At 43.6% G+C, this 18,703-nt stretch overlaps 1 protein-coding gene across 17 annotated transcripts in view, besides 2 other annotated features; it reads left to right on the top strand.

The window, feature by feature from the left end:
• Positions 1 to 18,703, top strand: part of PRDM10 (PR/SET domain 10) — a 103,125-nt gene that overhangs the window by 74,678 nt on the left and 9,744 nt on the right. For 8 of the 17 annotated variants that reach the window (NM_001367891.1, NM_001367892.1, NM_199437.2 and 5 more), the window contains 8 exons: positions 2,929 to 3,276; positions 4,755 to 4,910; positions 9,440 to 9,619; positions 10,921 to 11,031; positions 12,298 to 12,498; positions 13,140 to 13,454; positions 15,933 to 16,073; positions 17,502 to 17,682. In NM_001367891.1, the coding sequence (NP_001354820.1) occupies positions 2,929 to 3,276; positions 4,755 to 4,910; positions 9,440 to 9,619; positions 10,921 to 11,031; positions 12,298 to 12,498; positions 13,140 to 13,454; positions 15,933 to 16,073; positions 17,502 to 17,682 (1,633 nt within the window). The remainder of the gene's footprint in view (positions 1 to 2,928; positions 3,277 to 4,754; positions 4,911 to 9,439; positions 9,620 to 10,920; positions 11,032 to 12,297; positions 12,499 to 13,139; positions 13,455 to 15,932; positions 16,074 to 17,501; positions 17,683 to 18,703) is intronic. The other 9 variants (XM_011542912.3, NM_001367893.1, NM_001367895.1 and 6 more) reach the window with 4 other exon arrangements.
• Positions 1,721 to 2,222: an enhancer, noted in NCBI's record as "NANOG hESC enhancer chr11:129795831-129796332 (GRCh37/hg19 assembly coordinates)". NCBI's record gives its function as "activates a minimal SCP1, AML or CMV promoter by ChIP-STARR-seq in primed H9 embryonic stem cells {active_cell/tissue: H9 hESC(primed)}" and the evidence as "EXISTENCE:reporter gene assay evidence [ECO:0000049][PMID:30033119]".
• Positions 4,598 to 4,697: a silencer, noted in NCBI's record as "silent region_4068". NCBI's record gives its function as "represses an Ori minimal core promoter by ATAC-STARR-seq in GM12878 lymphoblastoid cells {active_cell/tissue: GM12878}" and the evidence as "EXISTENCE:reporter gene assay evidence [ECO:0000049][PMID:35858748]".

Here is an 18,703-nt window from a genome sequence, read left to right as displayed (position 1 = left end):
CTCCAGCCTGGGCGATGGAGAAAGACCCCATCTCTAAAAAACAAACAAACCCCCTAAACTTTAGAAACATTTTATGATCTCTGTCTACAAATAATCTGTTGTCTTAGAATTCATTGCAATGTGAGTTGAATCCCAAATCACAGAATTTAGCAACAATACGATTTTGGTATCCCTAGAGTAGCTGATATATATGTAGAGTGTGGTGGATTGCCTGACGAACTCAGGAAAGCAGAAGAACTAGAGTGGATCTGTGCGCTCTCTCCGACATTTGTCATGATTTCTTCTAGAAATGTGTACGGGTTGTGGCTCTGAGCTACAGAAGACACCTTAGAACAGAAATGGCCTGCAAGTGGGTCAACGGGTGGGGACAGTTTCAGCATTTTTACGACCTTGTAATATGACCATCCCATTAGTATCATTAGATCAGAGAAATACAATCTAGTTCTTGAGTGCAGACAATGTTCAGGGCTCCATGGAAATTGAAAAGATGATAAAGTTTGTCAATAGAGCCAAGAAAGTGGAGCCAGGTGGTGGCTCAGTTTAAATCAAGTGGCTGAAGGTACTCACACTAATCAGAAATGACAGAAGACTGATTAGCATAATGGACCAAAACAAAACTGAGTTCTGGATTTGGCACCCAAGGAGAAATGGCATCCTCAGTGGGACCACAGTCAATGTGCATTGTGTCTGTTCTTGGACACTTCAATGAACTTGGATAAAGGAAAAGATTCCTACATGGCAAAAGTGCTCTGAATCTTGCATCTTTGAACCTCACAATAGTATTGGTTCATCAGCAATATTTCCGTAAAGTTTTGAAAGTGGACAAAATAGTAAAGCTTTTATGTAAAATTAGTATCCAGACAGAGTTAAAAAGATGAGGTGGCTACTGAACTACACAGAAGTGAAAGCAAGCCCTGTGGCTGATTTGAGAAAAAACTATGCTTTTTTTTTTTTTTTTTTTTTTTTTTTTTTTTTTTTTTTGAGACAGAGTCTCACTGCAACCTCCACCTCCCAGGTTCAAGCGATTCTCCTGCCTCAGCCTCCCAAGTAGCTGGGATTACAGCCCTGGGGTTACAGGTGCCTGCTACCACGCCTGGCTAATTTTTGTATTTTTGGTAGAGACAGGGTTTTACCATGTTGGCCAGGCTGGTCTCAAACTCCTGACCTCAGGTGATCTGTCCGCCTCAGCCTCCCAGAATGCTGGGATTATAGGCATGGGCCACAGTGCCCAGCCAAGAAAGACCTATTCTTAAAAATCTCTGCAGATGCTGTAGAAAAATCCTTGAAATCATTTTTTTGAGTTTCATATGAAATATATTTCACTGATTCTCAAACTACTTTTGAAGACTTCCTATAAGCTAAGCAATTTATTAAGGGATCTGGATACAAAGGAGAATAAAGTATGATACATCCCCTGAAGCAGCCCCATCAGCTGAAGAAGATCACAGAATTGCTGTTTATCTACTCAAGATAAGTGAGTAGGTAGCAGCTTAAAAATCTTTCTCCTAGCCCGGTTAGAGAAGCCCTGAGAAGGAAATCTCTTGTTACATAGTAATTATGTCTAGAAATTCCACTAAATCAAAAATAATTATTTTGTTTTCCTCACATGATGATTTCACATTAAATTTAGTTTAAAAGTTGATGCTTACAAGTAATTTGAAGTTAAGATCGCACTAAGATCTCCATTAATCCTTCAATTACTGTTCATTTGTAGCTACATAGGCACAGCCATTCACAGATATACTTGAAGGATTTCCCCCCCTTGTAGCAATCTAGAGCTTTCCCTCAGTGTTCTGAGGAACGGATGAATGAGTCTTCATTGTAAGCATAACTGAAAGATTGATTCTGCATTCTCTGTGTGAGGTGATTTTGTCGATCTGCTGTCAGTAGAGCATGAGTAGATTTTCCAGTAGTGGCGATGGGTTTGCACTGAGTACCCGTACTCTCCCACTTGGATGCCCTATAACAATTGCATGAATTTACAAGATGGCCAATCAGCATTACAAGTGCAATCTGTGCCTGAAAACAAAGAGCAGAATTGCCTGGTCGAGGCAGGAACAGTGTGATGAGCTTAACGTTGTTAGCATGGCATTCTAACCAGTAGAACTAACTAGCTATTCTGGAACCTTACCTTCTGTTTTCTAAGTAGAAAGTGATGAAATGCATATATTCCATTTACGACATGTGCTCATGTCCCATTCACATAAATCTGAATCCTTTCAAGAAATTCTCGTGGCATAAAGTTTACCCTTTAAAGTGGTTTTTAGAACATTCTGAAGCTGTGCAATCTTCACCACTCTCTAATTCCAGCACACTTTCATCACCCCCAAAAGAAACCTGGTATCCATTACCCCCAAAAGAAACCTGGTATCCATTTCCTTCTCCATCCTGCCGCTGGCAAGGACTACCCTTCAGTTCTTTTTATTGTTTTTTTGTTTGTTTGTTTGTTTGTTTTGTTTTTGCTAAATGTTTTAATCAAGCTTCAAATTCTTTTTCTCATGGATTTCAACAAGTAACATTTGACTGACTTGCTCCAGCCTGATTCCTGCATGTGTGACTTAACCTAAGTCTTTTCCTCCAAATCTTCCATTTTTATCCTGTTCCACTGTGGGATTTGTTTTATTATACAAGTCTTCTATTGGGAACACTTTTTTTGTTACTTAAACCCTTTCAAAAGAAAACCCACATACATAGATGTAAAACAAAACACAAAAAAATTTCATCTCTTTAAGATGAGCTTCTTTGAGGATGGCTTCATTTTCAGTGTCTTCACCAGAAAAATCTCCTTTCAACTGTGTGTGTCCTAGAGTTGAACTTCTATGGGAAGTCTGTGATTGCAGAGATCATCCTCTCTTTCTCTGTAAAAGTGTGATCCAGTTGCACTCTTAATTTCATCACTAAATGATCACATTTGTGTATGTCTTTCAGAATGCAGCTCTTCAGCATCTGTTTATTCGGAAGTCCTTCCGGCCTTTTAAATGCTTGCAGTGTGGGAAGGCCTTCCGGGAAAAGGACAAACTGGACCAGCACTTACGCTTCCATGGGCGGGAGGGGAACTGCCCACTGACCTGTGATCTCTGTAACAAGGGCTTCATCAGCAGCACATCCTTGGAGAGCCACATGAAGCTCCACTCAGACCAGAAGACTTACTCTTGCATTTTTTGCCCAGAATCCTTTGACCGCCTTGATTTGTTGAAAGATCATGTGGCCATTCATATCAATGATGGCTACTTCACCTGCCCAACTTGTAAGAAACGGTTCCCAGATTTTATCCAGGTGAGTGTCTACTACTGAGATTCCTGTCTGCTTCCTTCTTTTGGTAAAAGAAACTTCGATTTTTGGAAAACCGAGACTGCCTAGCACCTGCATTTCCATCCCTTCTTTGAAACAACTTTACAATTGAGAACAATATTTCTTCAATCAAACTACTTTTATACACAAGATTATTATGACCCTTAATTGTCCAGATCAGACATTGACATTGAAGTGTTTAAGTTACAAGTAATAAACACCCAGATCTATTATAATTTTTAAAAAGTCTTTCATAATCCATGTCAATGTCTATTGCTTATAAAATATACCGAGCCTGTAGAAGACATACTCCCGTTTCTGAGGGGCTGGGAACATCTCCCTACTACTACTGTGGTTTCCTGCTTGCTTTAACCAAGGCCATACATTTTGGAAGGAAACAAAGAGAAAGTTGGTATATAATATACTTTTGTATCAGGAACCGACTGCCTCCTCCCCTGTAGTGTATTCTTTGTTGGAGCAAAATGGGTGAAGATAAATTTCAGAATACTCATGATTTCATTTGGACTTTAAGTGATAAGATTTTCCTGTGCTAGTCAGTGAATAACGAAACATTTTGTAAAAATACACTTTTTCAATTACCAAAGGAAAAGAAGACTAGGGATTTAATTTTAGTTCTGCTAGTGTTGAGAGTCTTGGAAATTTTCTCACTTCACACAAACTAGTAGAAAGATTGCTTTAAGGCATAATTTAATGGCAAAAGAAACTCCAAAAATAATGAAGCAAACTATCTTATAGGAATAGTTTGGTAAGACTCACTACTTAGCTTCCATCCTCAGCTCTTTCTCATTGGATATGTGTGGCTAAGAGAGTTCAGAAGCCCTATTCCTTTATTTATCTAAAAGTAAGGGAAGTAAGTCCCAGTTGAGAAGTGACGCCAGCGTCATATTGCTCTCACAAACCGGTAATGTCTTCTGTATCCACTCATTCATGTCTTTAATTCTTCAGAACTTAATTTTATAAGAAGATGTAAAAGGATCAAAAGGGGCTAAATTGCTTCTGTGCAGATTAAAGACGGAGAAAAGTAAGGAAGAATTGGTTTTTGTCTTCCTATAGATCCTTTTTAGCAAGATTTCATTTAAACCCAAAGGAACTTTTGCTTTTTATCTTTAAAAAATGGGCTTCAAGTGATCAGGGCTTTGACCAAGCAAGCACTCTCTCTCTCTCTCTCTCTCTCTCTCTCTCTCTCTCTCTCTCTCTCTCTCACGTTTCAAGTCATCGGGGAGGTTCGGATTTCTAAGGCTTTCTGGCTACTTGTTTTATTTCTTTGTGACAGGGACAGTATGTGTTATTGAGGCCAATTATCACATCTGATTGGATTCCTCGGCGGGGTTGATGAAAACCCATGGTAATGCGTTTGGCTCCCTCTAGCGTTGACAAGCTGCCTTTGGTCATTTCATTTGGTGCCTGCGTCCCCTGAATTTTCCTGTGGTTCTTATCACCAGGTGAAAAAACACGTGCGCAGCTTCCACTCAGAAAAGATCTACCAGTGCACAGAGTGTGACAAGGCCTTCTGTCGCCCCGATAAACTGCGACTCCACATGCTCCGGCATTCGGACCGCAAAGACTTCCTGTGTTCCACCTGTGGGAAGCAATTTAAGGTATGACACCAAGGCACAGCCCAAGGTGGTTCTCGTGGCCACTGGAATTATAGCAAGCTGAGGGTAAATGCCTGTTCATTTCATCAGTTTATCACCCACCTCTGATGAACTGGACCTGAGATACTCTTTGGGCCTTGTGTTTGACTTAGTTATAAAATTAAGGGGGAAAACTTACTCATTTCCTCAAAATAGTTAATTCAAATCCCCAAACAAGTAGAGTAAAAATGCATCATCTCCTAAAAGAATCCAAATGTATAATGACAAGTATAACTAAATCGCTATTGAGATTTCCTAACAGACCAAAACCTTTACTTAACATTCAGATCAGGAGGTTTTTGTTGAGCACTGATGAAGTATAAGAGCCCGTAATTGAGCCTTGCAGCCAGCAGGACGCTCATCTAATTCAGGTGGGAAATCTGAAGAATGCTGAGAAGGCTTAGACTACTTTGGAGAATGTTAATGACCTCAAAGATTAAAACATTATGAGTATCCGTAACCCACCTGGAACTTAGAAGAAGCCGAGCAAAACCCTGCAGGGGACCCAGAAATAAAAGTTAAATAAATAAATGTAAAAACAATGAAATATGCTTCATTGGGAAATAAGGTGATTCTGCAAAAATGTCACTGGAAGACCTTCTGCTGAAAATGATTGTAGGTCACACTCTCATAGAAACTGGAAAAGAATCAGAAATTGATTCAGGAGAGGAAAACTAAGGGTATATTTGTAACAGATGCAAAGAAATTAAAGAGAAATAGAGTTTGCAAAGCTGGTTTTATGGTAAGTGTGTTATAGAATATAATTTAATGGCTTTGAATATATAACAGCACAATTTAGAATTCCGTAGAGAACTCCAGTGTGAAAAGTATAAGTAGGTCTGGGATTTTTCTGTTCTTAAAAAAAATCATATCTAAAAGGATTCCTGTTTTGCGATACTGTTTGGCCATCCATCCATCCCATCCAGCCAGTGTTTTTTGATTTTTCATTTTGTGCCAGATACCATATTTTAACACCTTGGAATATTTCTTTAAAATTTCTTTGCTTGCTTTCATTTTCTCTTTTACTTTCACCCAGTATATTCAACCACAGTTCAATCAGGGAAGCAAAGCCACTGTGAATGTTACAGAAGAAGATTTTCTTACAGGACTAAGAACTTAATTATAGGAGAAGATGGAGAAGTGAGGGTTGAAGGGAGAAGCTGGGAGGTCGGAAGTCAGCAGTATGCCCACAGAAGTACTGGTCTGGGTGGTCAAATGGGAAGTTACCTGGGAATCTGGGAACCAAGCACTTCCTCCTGCAGAGGGGCCCAGGAAGGAGAGCTGGTGTGGTCTGTGAAAGACTGTGTCACTGCATCTGGTGGTGGATGTGGAGCTGGCCAGCAGGGCTGGCAGTCAGGAAGACAGCTGGTGGCTGGGTGGGAAAGAGAGGATAAGTAGGGACCCACAGGTACCTCTACATGACACCGTCTAGAGCAGCACGGAGCTGCTTCCTTTCCACCTTCCAGGCTGGTCTGAGTTTCTCTTTGGCTAACCCCAACTCGGAACCATGCTGGGAAGAAGACTCCCTTCAAATGTAGTTCCCCTTAGCCAAGTTGACCCAGCACAAAACCACTACCACCTACCTTCCTGGCATATTTTCAAAGTAGAATCAGAGTAATTTTTCTAGAGAACAGCTCTGATGTCATGTCCTTTCTGAAAAACTCTTAAATAGCTCTTCACGCAGATAAATCCCGAAGTTCTTGTTACTTCTAAGATGCTACAGGATCTGGCTCCTGCCAGCCTCTCTGGTTCCTGCCTCCCCGTGTGCTCAGGGTGACCTGAACTCCATAGCTTTACCCAGGTGTGGCATACTCTCTCTCCTTGGGCCTTTGCACTTGCTCTCACTCCTCCTCCTGACTTGAAATGCATTTTCAAACTGTCATATTCCTTCACCTGGCTAATGTCACTTCATATGGGGCATTTCCTGATCCCTGGATTAACTGCTGCTTCTCCCACCAATTCCCACAGGGCCTTTTGCTGGTGACCCTGTCATAGCATTTGTGTATTGCATTTGCCTGTCCTGCTAAGTATAAGCTCCATGAGGGCAGCATTGAAGTCAAGGTGGGACCTTCCAACTTCAGGGAGCTCACACTAGAATAGAGAAAAGAATAAAGTGGCCGGGTGCGGTGGCTCACGCCTGTAATCCCAGCACTTTGGGAGGCCAAGGTGGGCAGATCACCTGAGGTTGGGAGTTCGAGACCAGCCTGACCAACATGGAGAAAGCCCATCTCTACTAAAAATATAAAAGTAGCCAGGCGTGGTGGTGCATGACTGTTATCCCAGCTACTCAGGAGGCTGAGGCAGGAGAATCACTTGAACCCGGGAGGCGGAGGTTGTGGTGAGGCGAAATCATGCCATTGTACTCCAGCCTGGGTGACAGAGCGAGACTCCATCTCAAAAATGCTGTGAGAGGGATTCACTGATTTGGGGTATAGGGGAGACCTCATAGATATGGTGACACTTTTGAATCCATTCATGGGTGGGAAACAGTTTGCCAGCTAGGGAAAGGGAGAGGTGAGGAGTGAGGGAGGAATATTGGCATCTCAAGCAGAGGGAGCAGCAGGGAGTGGTGATGCCACGTTCGGGAGATTGGGAGAAGGGGACTGATGGAGGGTGTGGCAAGAGGAAGCCAGGGAAGCGGGTTAAGCTAGCGCGCTGTGCTAAGTAATTAGACTTACCAGCGTTTCAGAGCTGGGCTAATTCAGGCCGAGGCAGTGGGTGTGGAGAAGAGGGGCCATGTTCAAGACAGGCGTCATGGGAGGCTGACAAGAACTTGCACTTGGGTGGAAGGGGGAAGGGTGGACAGCAAGGAATGGAGATTTGCAGCTTGAGAGGCTAGATGTTTGGGAACACCGCTGATACCAAAAAGCACGACTTAGGCAGAAGGAGTGGGGGCAGATAGCGGATTTGGTTTGGGGGATGTTAGGATGGAAAGGCCTCATGGAGATTTGGCATCCAACAAATGTGTGCCCGTCACGATGTGCATAGCATGGTGTGGTATTTGTGTTAGGCTTTGAAATTTATGTGATGATTCGGTTAAGGTCAGTTGGTTGTTTAAAGGGAATAGACGGGAACTAGTGAATGTTGATGCTTAGAAAAAAGTGGGAATGCGAGAGGAGTTGGAGGAAAAGGAAAAGAAAAAAAGTGGCAATGCAACAGTGCTTTGCCATTGTATCCACACTAAAGAAAGATACTGTCACGTAGGGCAGTGTCCTTAATCCAAATCCTACTGTAGCCTACAAAGCGCTGAACATTCCCTCCTGGGCTTTCCAGAAATGAAGGCGGGTGGGATAGGAAGAAAGAGTTGGGTCGTATGCATTGCAGCAGAAGAGGCAGGTGGGTGAGGGAGGCCCAGCATTGGAGCTCGGCCCTTATCCTGCTCCCTGATACTGGGTAGGCCCTCAAGGAATATTTGTTGAGTAAATGTGCTGAAAAATGAAGTCCTTAAAAAAGTCCCTGTGCTGAAAGGTGGGAAGAACTGGATTTGTAGAAAGCCTCAGAGTCTTTATGGGACTAATAACAATTTATTCATGTGTCCCAGAGCAGAAAGCCTCACTGGATCAGGGAGCTGGCACTTTGTTTTTATTCAGGATGGGCTCTGCCTGATTCTCTCCATGGACTCACATCAGCATGTGTCACTAAATAGTGAAACCAGGAGCTGAGCCCTGGGCCCCATGCTCCATCATAGTGAACAATGGATTTGTTTACTTGAACTTCTAATTCTGTAAGGTGAGAAGTTCTAAATCCATAAGATAGAGATTCTTACTTAAATTCTTTTGGGATTTAGAAAAATATAATGTTTGCTGAAAGGTGTGGGAATTGAGTATACACATGGCATTTTTTCTTTGACAGAGCCTTGCTCTGTTGCCCAGGCTGGAGTGCAGTGGTGTGATCTCAACTCAGTGCAGCCTCCACCTCCCAGATTCAAGTGATTCTCCTGCCTCAGCCTCCTGAGTAGCTGGGATTACGTGTGCCACCACACCCAGCTAATTTTTATATTTTTCATAGAGACAGGGTTTCACCATGTTGGCCAGGCTGGTCTCAAACTCCTGACCTCAGGTGATCCGCCCTTGTCGGCCTCCCAAAGTGCTAGGATTACAGGCATGAGCCACCACACCCGGCCTACACTGGCTTCTAAAATCTAATATTACCTGTTATCAATTTGTCTGAAGTTCTTTTATGCCAGGCTTGTTCCGTGTTCTCTTTAATCTCCTCTACATAAATGCACAGTCTTTATTCTCAAAAGTCGGTATGTATCTTTCCTATTTAATGGTCATTTTAAACCAAGGTTCATTGGAATGCACATATTTGCTAGTGAACAGAGTAACTCCCAGCCACTTTTAACATGTCTGCGTCCTAGTGTTCCAGCAACTCAAATGTCTCTTGGAGGCTTGTGGTGACTGCTAATTTGTATTGATTTTTAAAATGATCCCTTCAGTTAAAAATTTTCTACCCCCGTGTCTACCCCGTTTTCAAAAATACTCTCCAAATAGCGAAAAGACAAACTACGGGAACACATGCAGAGGATGCATAATCCTGAGAGGGAGGCCAAGAAAGCCGACCGCATCAGCCGCTCCAAGACGTTCAAGCCCCGCATCACGTCCACAGACTACGACAGCTTCACGTTCAAGTGCCGCCTGTGCATGATGGGCTTCCGGCGGCGCGGCATGCTGGTCAGTGCCCAGTGGCTGCGGGTTCCTCTGTCTTCCCAGCATACCTCATTGCTGTCGATGATGGTGACGTTTGTGTTGCATTGTGTCCTAAGTTATATCGATCAATGGTTTTGTCAATGTCCAGGGGAAGAAACAGAGGCAAACGATTCCCAATTTGGAGTTCTGTCTTTTCTAGTCTCCCTTTGCTCTCTCTTGCTGCTTTTTGGATCAATTCTTGTAAGAGGTCTTTTTCTTTTTCTTTTTTTTTTTTTAATCACTTTTCATTACTACTTTTGTTTTTCTTTACCCATCTCAATCTCTGCTCTCACCTTATTTTAGTTCCCTCTTTTGTGTCCCTGAATGTATTTTTTTAATGGGGTATTTGCCTTCTCCCCAGCTGTTCCCTTTTATTTTATTTATTTATTTTTGAGACAGAATTTCGCTCCTGTTGCCCAGGCTGGAGTGAAATGGCGTGATCTCAGCTCACTGCAACCTCCCCCTCCCAGGTTCAAGCGATTCTCCTGCTTCAGCCTCCTGAGTAGCTGGGATTACAGGTGCCCACCACCATGCCTGGCTAATTTTTGTATTTTTAGTAGACACGGGGTTTCACCATTTTGGCAAGGCTGGTCTCAAACTCCTGACCTCAGGTGATCCACCTGCCTCAGCCTCCCAGAATGCTGGGATTACAGGCGTGAGCCACTGCACCCAGCCCCCAGCTGTTTCCTTTTAATGCCTCTCTTTTCCAGATATCAAACAGCAGTAGAAGGAAGCTTTCCGTCAAAGCAGGGTATGTGCATCCAGGTTAGCTGAAGCATCAGACAGCCAGTGCTCTGCTCTCAACTCATTTTGACCTTGTTACGGGTGCAGAATATATTTCTGCCAGGTGCTGGAAAGTCATAGAGCAATATTTAAAATTCAGAACCTTAGTCTGTATCTCATTCCATGTTCTTAGTAAGACTAGGGCATTAAATAATGAAAGACAGGTTTGCATGAGGAGAACTCACCAAAGAAATTCATACCAGTGTAATTTTCCTTTTTCCAATAGTAGTTCTTTCAGCCAAAGACTGTTGATGGCTGAATTCACCACAGTGAGTCACCTTCAATTGTTTGGTGAATTATTGTTAACTCCTGTTAACCATGACTGTGAGTGCTTTGGCATCAGATGGGGTCTGGTGATCCTGGTTCTGGCCAAATGCCTTATTATTTGGGGGCATTGCTTCAGAGAATTCCAGCTTCTGGCGGTCATTATCAGAGGCATTCGTGTAGCTTCTGTTTGGTTAATGGGGTCTCTTTTTCTCATTGGTTCTTTCTTTTCCCTTTAGGTAAATCACTTATCGAAGAGACACCCAGACATGAAGATAGAAGAGGTGCCAGAGTTAACTCTACCCATCATAAAACCCAATCGTGATTACTTTTGTCAGTATTGCGATAAGGTAAAAGGGAAATATTCATATTGGTATGCCACTGGGGTTCCCTGCTTAGAGCTGACTTGTCCGTATTTATAAATATATACTACGATTTTTTTGTTACTCTTACCAGATGGTTACCTGTCTCTCAGTAGTCTCCATTCAGACAAGAAAGGACTAGAAATACAGCCTTATTTTAAGCCAAATTTTTTTCTTAAGAAATAGTTGACTTCATTTTTCTTACTGTCCCTTCTCTCTGTGATTTTTGTTACACAAGAAGAGGTTTATTACTAGTGCTTAGTGTATGAATTAATTTCAAATTCCTAGGCTCTAAAATGAGAGCATTTATCATGACCTATAACATATATGGTAGTTTTGGGGTTTCTATAAGGTGGAGGGGGTTGGGAAAGCTTTGTGGTGGAGTACTCTACTTGTACTATTGCATTATTTTCATGTAGTTACAGAAAAGACACAGAATATATATTTATTATTCCACTGTAATATCCTTTCTTACTTTTTGAGATGGAGTCTTGCTCTGTTACACAGGCTGGAGTGCAGTGGCATGATCTCAGCTCACTGCAACTTCCGCCTGGGTTCAAGCGATTCTCCTGCCTCTGCCTCTGGAGTAGCTGGGATTACAGGCGCCAGCCCCCACGCCCAACTAATTTTTGTATTTTTAGTAGAGACAGGGTTTCACCATGTTGGCCAGGATGATCCACCCTCAGGTGATCGCCCGCCTCGGCCTCCCAAAGTGCTGGGATTATAGGCATGAGCCACCACACCCAGCCATCCTTTCCTTATATAATGTAGCTATATCAGCTTAAAAGTGAGAAACATTTTTTAACATAGATTCCCCACTATAGATAGCAGTTGCTATTGACGTTGCCATTTGGAAGATTCTCTGGCTCCTGGTCTTCAGCTGCGTACATCATATGAGAGCTTTCACAGGCAGCTCTCATATGAGGTGGATGGGCCTTAAAAACAATTATCTTCCTCTGTCTGTGTATCATATCCAAATTTTAAACTTTAGGATAAAGGGTATTTTCACAGTTATTATCTTAGATTTATAGATTAAAGAAAGAAACCTATCATATCTACATTATGTTCTTATTTTATTCTAATTTGTAGTATATCCTTGCTCTTCAATAGATCTGTTAATATACATATTAATATATTTTATTTGGGGCTACATGAATACTTTTCCTCATTTTCTTATAATGAAATTGTTAGTTTGCTTTAAGCAAGAAAGTGGAACTGTATACTGCTTTCATGGCAAGGCGCTTACATTTGCAGGTTTATAAAAGTGCCAGCAAGCGCAAAGCCCACATTCTGAAGAACCACCCAGGAGCAGAGCTCCCACCGAGCATTCGGAAGCTCCGACCCGCTGGTCCTGGAGAGCCAGACCCCATGCTGAGCACACACACCCAGCTGACGGGCACCATCGCCACCCCTCCCGTCTGCTGTCCCCACTGCTCCAAGCAGTACAGCAGCAAGGTAGGGGGAGTTTCTGACTAAAGCTAAGGTCAAAACCGCCATGCGAGGAATCTCTTAAGGAAAGGTGGCTTCTCATCCACATGGCCTGGATGGCTCCTTCTGAGTTGACGGGGGACTGAAAGAGATGTTGTCCTAGTCACTGTAAACAGAGAGCACAGCAGAGAATGGAAAGAGGATACTGTGGACCTCCCCAGAATTAGTGCCGTACAGCAGCCCGAGCAGCTGGCTGTTTTCCTTTTCCCTTGGCCTGCGGAGGGCCTCACGTTTGAATGTTCTGTGCTTGCAGTTGGTGAGTTCAGGCTTTTGGAAGCACCACATAGAAAGTTACGTGGTGGCTTTACAAAGGAGGTCATTTTGGCTGGGGGGATTGTGATTGATTGCTGCAGGTACTATTTGGGGGGGGTATTGAGACCTTGCTGATGGTGTGAGGTCAGGTGAGGTTTTACTTCTTCCCCACCCTCTTCCCTGCTTTCATAGCATTATGTTACCCCAGGAAGTACAGGCATAGAGTCAGTGTTGCTCTGATTTTTCTTTTTTTAAGACATAAAAGACTTTAGGAATCTTTGGAGGATTTACATATGAGAAAAACGGAAAATCACAAATTCTAATAATTATTCTTGTTTTTTGCCTTGCTTTTTCAGACCAAGATGGTCCAGCACATTCGAAAGAAGCATCCAGAGTTCGCCCAGCTCTCCAACACCATACACACACCACTGACGACAGCTGTGATCAGTGCCACCCCAGCGGTTTTGACTACAGACAGCGCCACTGGAGAGACTGTGGTGACGACGGACCTGCTCACCCAAGCAATGACAGAACTGTCCCAGACCTTAACGACAGACTACCGAACGCCACAAGGGGATTACCAGAGAATTCAGTACATCCCTGTGTCGCAGTCGGCGTCTGGCCTCCAGCAGCCTCAGCACATACAGCTGCAAGTGGTTCAAGTGGCCTCGGTACTGCGTGCCTTGGTTTCCCTTTGCCTTATGAATGCCGTGTTGCCACTAGCACCTCATTCTCAGAGCTGGGGCTGGGATCTATGTAATGTCCTTCTGCGTGGAAGTTCTGAGCCTTGGGCATTTTACAACTGCCCCTTCCCCTTTCAGGCTGATGAGGCCTCTGGCCTTAGCAATGTAAGAGATTTCTGTCTATAGTAGTCAGGAAATTTTAGGTTCCAGCATATACAAGCCTCCTGTGCTGTGGCAGGACAGTAGCCACAGCACCTGTTTCTGACCCTCTTCTGATCCTTATCTTTAACCATCCTGGTTGGCTGCTTGGTAATGAGCCAGTTTGATAAATCACGACCTGCGTATCAAATGTCTTATATCAAAGAGAGGTCATAAAGCATAATATTGATGGCTGGGCGCAGTGGCTCATGCCTGTAATCCCAGCACTTTTGGGAGGCTGAGGCGGGCAGATCACTTGAGGTCAGGAGTTCGAGACCAGCCTGGCCAACATGGCAAAATCTCGTCTCTACTAAAAATACAAAAATTAGCTGGGCATGGTGGCGGATGCCTGTAATCCCAGCTACTCAGGAAGCTGGGGCAGGAGAATTGCTTGAACCTGGGAGGCGGAGGTTGCAGTGAGCTGAGATCACACCATTGCACTCCAGCCTGGGCGACAGAACAGGACTCAAAAAAAAAAATTGAGTCAATCTCTGCATATCAGTCAGTGCCTTTGTAGTATAGAGGTATAACTGTGTTCCTTCTACCAGATAATGAATAACTCATTCTTATTGACTAAGGAACTAAATGAAAGTGATTCTCCCAGAACTATTGTTTCATTTAATTACACTGAGGAGAAGTGTCCCCAAGGCACAAATGAACAAACTTGTTGCTTTGAAATCATTTGGTCTCTGAAAATTTAAAACTAACATGGGGACAGGAAATTGGAAGTTGCCACTGTCGTTGACTATTCTTTGTCTTGTTTTTCTTATGGAGGGTTTTTAACTTCAGGCTTTGGAGGAAGCTATATGAGTCCCTGAAGTTGCCTGTAAATTATGATGTATAGGTACATTGTTCTAGAAAAAGGGCCTGTACTTTAGCTACTTTTTCAAAGATGTTTATGATATATAAAAGGTTAAGAACCACTGTCATAGTGGGTTAATGGTGACAAACTAAAAACGAATTTCTTTGATCTCTTTTAATTGATAAAGGGTAGATCATTAAATGTAACTGAAATTTTTGATTCCTGACAACTTCTTTTTCAGCTTATTGTCAGGAACTATCTTCCCTCTCTCTCCTTCTCTTCCAGAATCTAATAGTGGCTTATGTGTGAGAAGCATATTTCTCTAAACGCTCTTTTTTTATCCTGTTGTATGGCGTGTTCTAGGTGTGGGCTATCTGCGAGTGCAGCATTGGAGCTGAAATCCCTTCCATTCTTCTATTTCTGTTGGCATATATTGGGATATTGTTTTTGGTTTTTTTTTTTTTTTTTTTTTGGAGACAGGGTCTCACTATTGTCACCCAGGCTGGAGTGCAGTGGCACAATCATGGCTCACTGCAACCTCCGCCTCCCAGGCTCAGATATTCCTCCCACCTCAGCCTCATCAGTAGCTCGGATTACAGGCATGCCACCATGCCTGGCTATTTTTTTTTTTTGAGATGGAGTCTCGCTCTGTTGCCCGGGCTAGAGTCCAGTGGCACGAATTCAGCTCACTGCAACCTCTGCCTCCCAGGTTCAAGTGATTCTTCTGCCTTAGCCTCCTGAGTAGCTGGGATTACAGGTGCTCGCCACCACACCCAGCTAATTTTTGTATTTTTAGTGGAGACAGGGTTTCACCACATTGGTCAGGCTTGTCTTGAACTCCTGACCTCAAGTGATCCCCCCGCCTCAGCCTCCCAAAGTGCTGGGATTACAGGGGTGAGCCACTGCACCCTGCTGCCTGACTAATTTTTTTTTTTTTTTCGAGATGGAGTCTCGCTCTGTCGCCCAGGCTGGAGTGCAGTGGTGCAATCCCAGCTCACTGCAAGCTCCGCCTCCCAGGTTCACGCCATTCTCCTGCCTCAGCCTCCCTAGTAGCTGGGACTACAGGTGCCTGCCGCCACACCCAGCTAATTTTTTTGTATTTTCAGTAGAGACGGGGTTTCACCATGTTAGCCAGGACGGTCTCGATCTCCTGACCTCGTGATCCACCCGCCTTGGCCTCCCAAAGTGCTGGGATTACAGGCGTGAGCCACGGCGCCCGGCCATTCACCTGACTAATTTTTGTATTTTTTGTAGAGACAGGGTTTTGCCATGTTGCCCAGGCTGGTCTCGAACTCCTGGGCTCAAGCGATACACCCGCTTTGGCCTCCCAAACTGCTGGGTTTATAGGCATGAGCCACTGCACCCGGCCAGGATATTGTTTTTAACTGAACCTTTTCTCTGGAAGGATTTCCCTTAACTTCAATCAATATATGTCTGGTTTCTGGGCCTGTTTTTTCTCCTTCCAGGCCACTTCCCCTCACCAGTCACAGCAGTCCACTGTGGATGTTGGCCAGCTCCATGATCCTCAGCCCTACCCCCAGCACGCCATCCAGGTGCAGCACATCCAGGTCAGCGAGCCTACCGCCTCGGCCCCGTCCTCCGCCCAGGTACCCTGCTCCACAGACTATTTGGAGGTGTTATCATGGCTTCAGGGATTATCAGAGTTAATGAGAGGGAAGACATTCTCTTCAGACCTAGTCTCCTCAGCTACTGTTATTTTTGGATTTTTATTAAAGGATCTTACCTTTGCCTCCAATTTTTATATTGGCATTGTGGACACATATTAAGCTGTTAGCTGCTTCTGCCCTCATAGAGTCCTGTGGTACGACATCCTAGAAACAACAGTGGTCTTTGCTTTCATTCTAAATGCAATGGCTAAGTGGCTTCTATGATTTGGAACAGTGGCTTTCTGGAGTATTATGGTATATTTTATGTTACTGTGTTTGTATGCTTGAGTCTGGAATTGAGATACATAGATAAGTTCTCAGAGTTCAGAGAGGGAGAGATTAGGTTTAGGAGGGAATCCAGGACATTTTTTAGAAGAAGTGGTCTTTGAGGTCTTGAAGGAGGGGTACAGTTCTGACATAGTCGTTGGGGAAGGCAGTCTGATCTGAAGAAGCTCATGCTGCAATGGAAAATGTACATTTATAGAAAACAGGGTTATTCTGTTTAGATTACTCACAGGAAATGATGTTTGGAAAGGAAGTTGGGAGGGTAGTTTGGAGCAGGATTGCAGTGTGGCAGGCTGGAGAGCGCTGGCCTCATCCTGTTATCAGGAGTGGGCCTCTTCACCCACCTGTGCTGAACTCCACCAGCCAGGTGGGATTTGCCAGTACTGGTGAATGGAAACGATGAACTTTGGGTTTCATTTCATTTTGTGTTCCAGATTAGCTTTGTGACACAGGCAAGTTACTTCACCTCCCATTATTTTTAAACTTATAGAATGTAGGTAATTATATTTTCTTTCATTTATCTTTCCAACAGTTGATTGAAATTAATTTTTTTGCATACTCTGGTAGAGAATCCTTTGAAAGCAAATTAGAATTTCATAGTTATGCTTGCTTTTCATTGAGTTTATTCTTATTTAAAATATTACTTTTAATAATAGCAATGATAGGCCAGGCGTTGTGTCTCATGCCTGTAATCCCAGCACTTTGGGAGGCCGAGGCGGGTGGATCACCTGAGGTCGGGAGTTCGAGACCAGCCTGACCAACCTGGAGAAACCCCTTCTCTACTAAAAATACAAAATTAGCTGGGTGGGTTGGCACATGCCTGTAATCCTAGCTACTCGCGAGGCTGAGGCAGGAGAATCACTTGAACTCAGGAGGCGGAGGTTGCGGTGAGCCGAGATCATGCCGTTGCACTCCAGCCTGGGCAATAAGAGTGAAACTCCATCTCAAAAGAAAAAAAAAATAGCAACGATAGTTTCAGTATTATAATTCATATGAGTCTGGTGTACTTCCTTCAGTTATTTGTGAGTCTTCACTATATTAGAAGCTCGTAATTCCCTACCATTGCTTTCTCTTTCTCCCCAGGTATCTGGGCAGCCGTTGAGTCCCTCAGCCCAGCAGGCTCAGCAGGGGCTCAGCCCCTCCCACATCCAGGGCAGTTCTTCCACACAGGGGCAGGCTCTGCAGCAGCAGCAGCAGCAGCAGCAGAATTCCTCTGTGCAGCACACGTACCTGCCCAGTGCTTGGAATTCCTTCCGTGGCTATTGTAAGTAAGAAGGGACGATGCCGTGTCGGTCAGGGGTGGGGGATCTCCAGCCATGTGTCATAATTTCTTCAGCTTGTGATAGATTTTTAAAGTATCTCTTGGCCATTGTTTACACTCTCTATGAATGTACTTCAATGGGTTTCATGACAAAACTCAAGGTGTAGCATTCCGCTTTCACAGAGCTACCCTGATAGGACATTTTCGAAACGTCAGGTATATTGCTGGAGGAAATGTAGCTATGAAATTAAATAGTAAGATAGTTGGATATAGCTTATGTTGAGTCATCCCTTCCACCAATATTTGTAGAATGCCTGTCTATCAATCGCTGTACTAGACACTGGCTATGCCAAGATTAATATTCTCATTAGTATCGGTAACACCACACAATAATAATGTTAACCAGCTTTCATTAAGCTCTTACTACATTGCCAGGAATGATTCCGAACCATATATATCACAGTCAGTATTCACAACAACCTATAAGATAAGTACAATTGTTATTTGCATTTTACAGATAAGGCAATTTCCACACACTCACTTTTCCAAGAGCTAGTAAACAGAGGATTGGAACCCAGGCAGTTTGGCTTCAGAGTGTCCACTCTAAACCACCCCACTGTGCAGCTGACCATCATCTAGTAAAGGAGGGAGATAGAAGAGTCGTTGATTCCAAAGCCCTGAGATTCGTGCTGTGGAAACAGTAGCAGGCTGGCTGACAGAGGTCGGGGCAGGTAAACCCCTTGGTGGGGAAACAGCTTTGGGGCAGGCCAGGAAGTATGAGACCTTTCTCATGGAAGGTGTGGAAGGAATAGGAGTAGACTTTAACAGACCTCAGTAGTAGAAACTAGGAGGAAGAGGTGCTGAGAAGGGAAAGGGTCGGTATTGATCTTTCTTCTACTGTTGATTTATTTTTGGGGGCCCGTCTTTGTCATGATTGATCCTTGGCTATGTTACATAGATTTGCTATGGAGTCAGGCTCAAACTCTACCGTCTAGTTATTTTTACAATCAATATTCTTTTTTTT

The sequence above is a fragment of the Homo sapiens genome, chromosome 11 (assembly GCF_000001405.40).
Source record: "Homo sapiens chromosome 11, GRCh38.p14 Primary Assembly".
NCBI lineage: Eukaryota > Metazoa > Chordata > Mammalia > Primates > Hominidae > Homo > Homo sapiens.
Note: the sequence above shows the minus strand (reverse complement) of the source record. Positions and strands in the feature narration are given on the sequence as shown.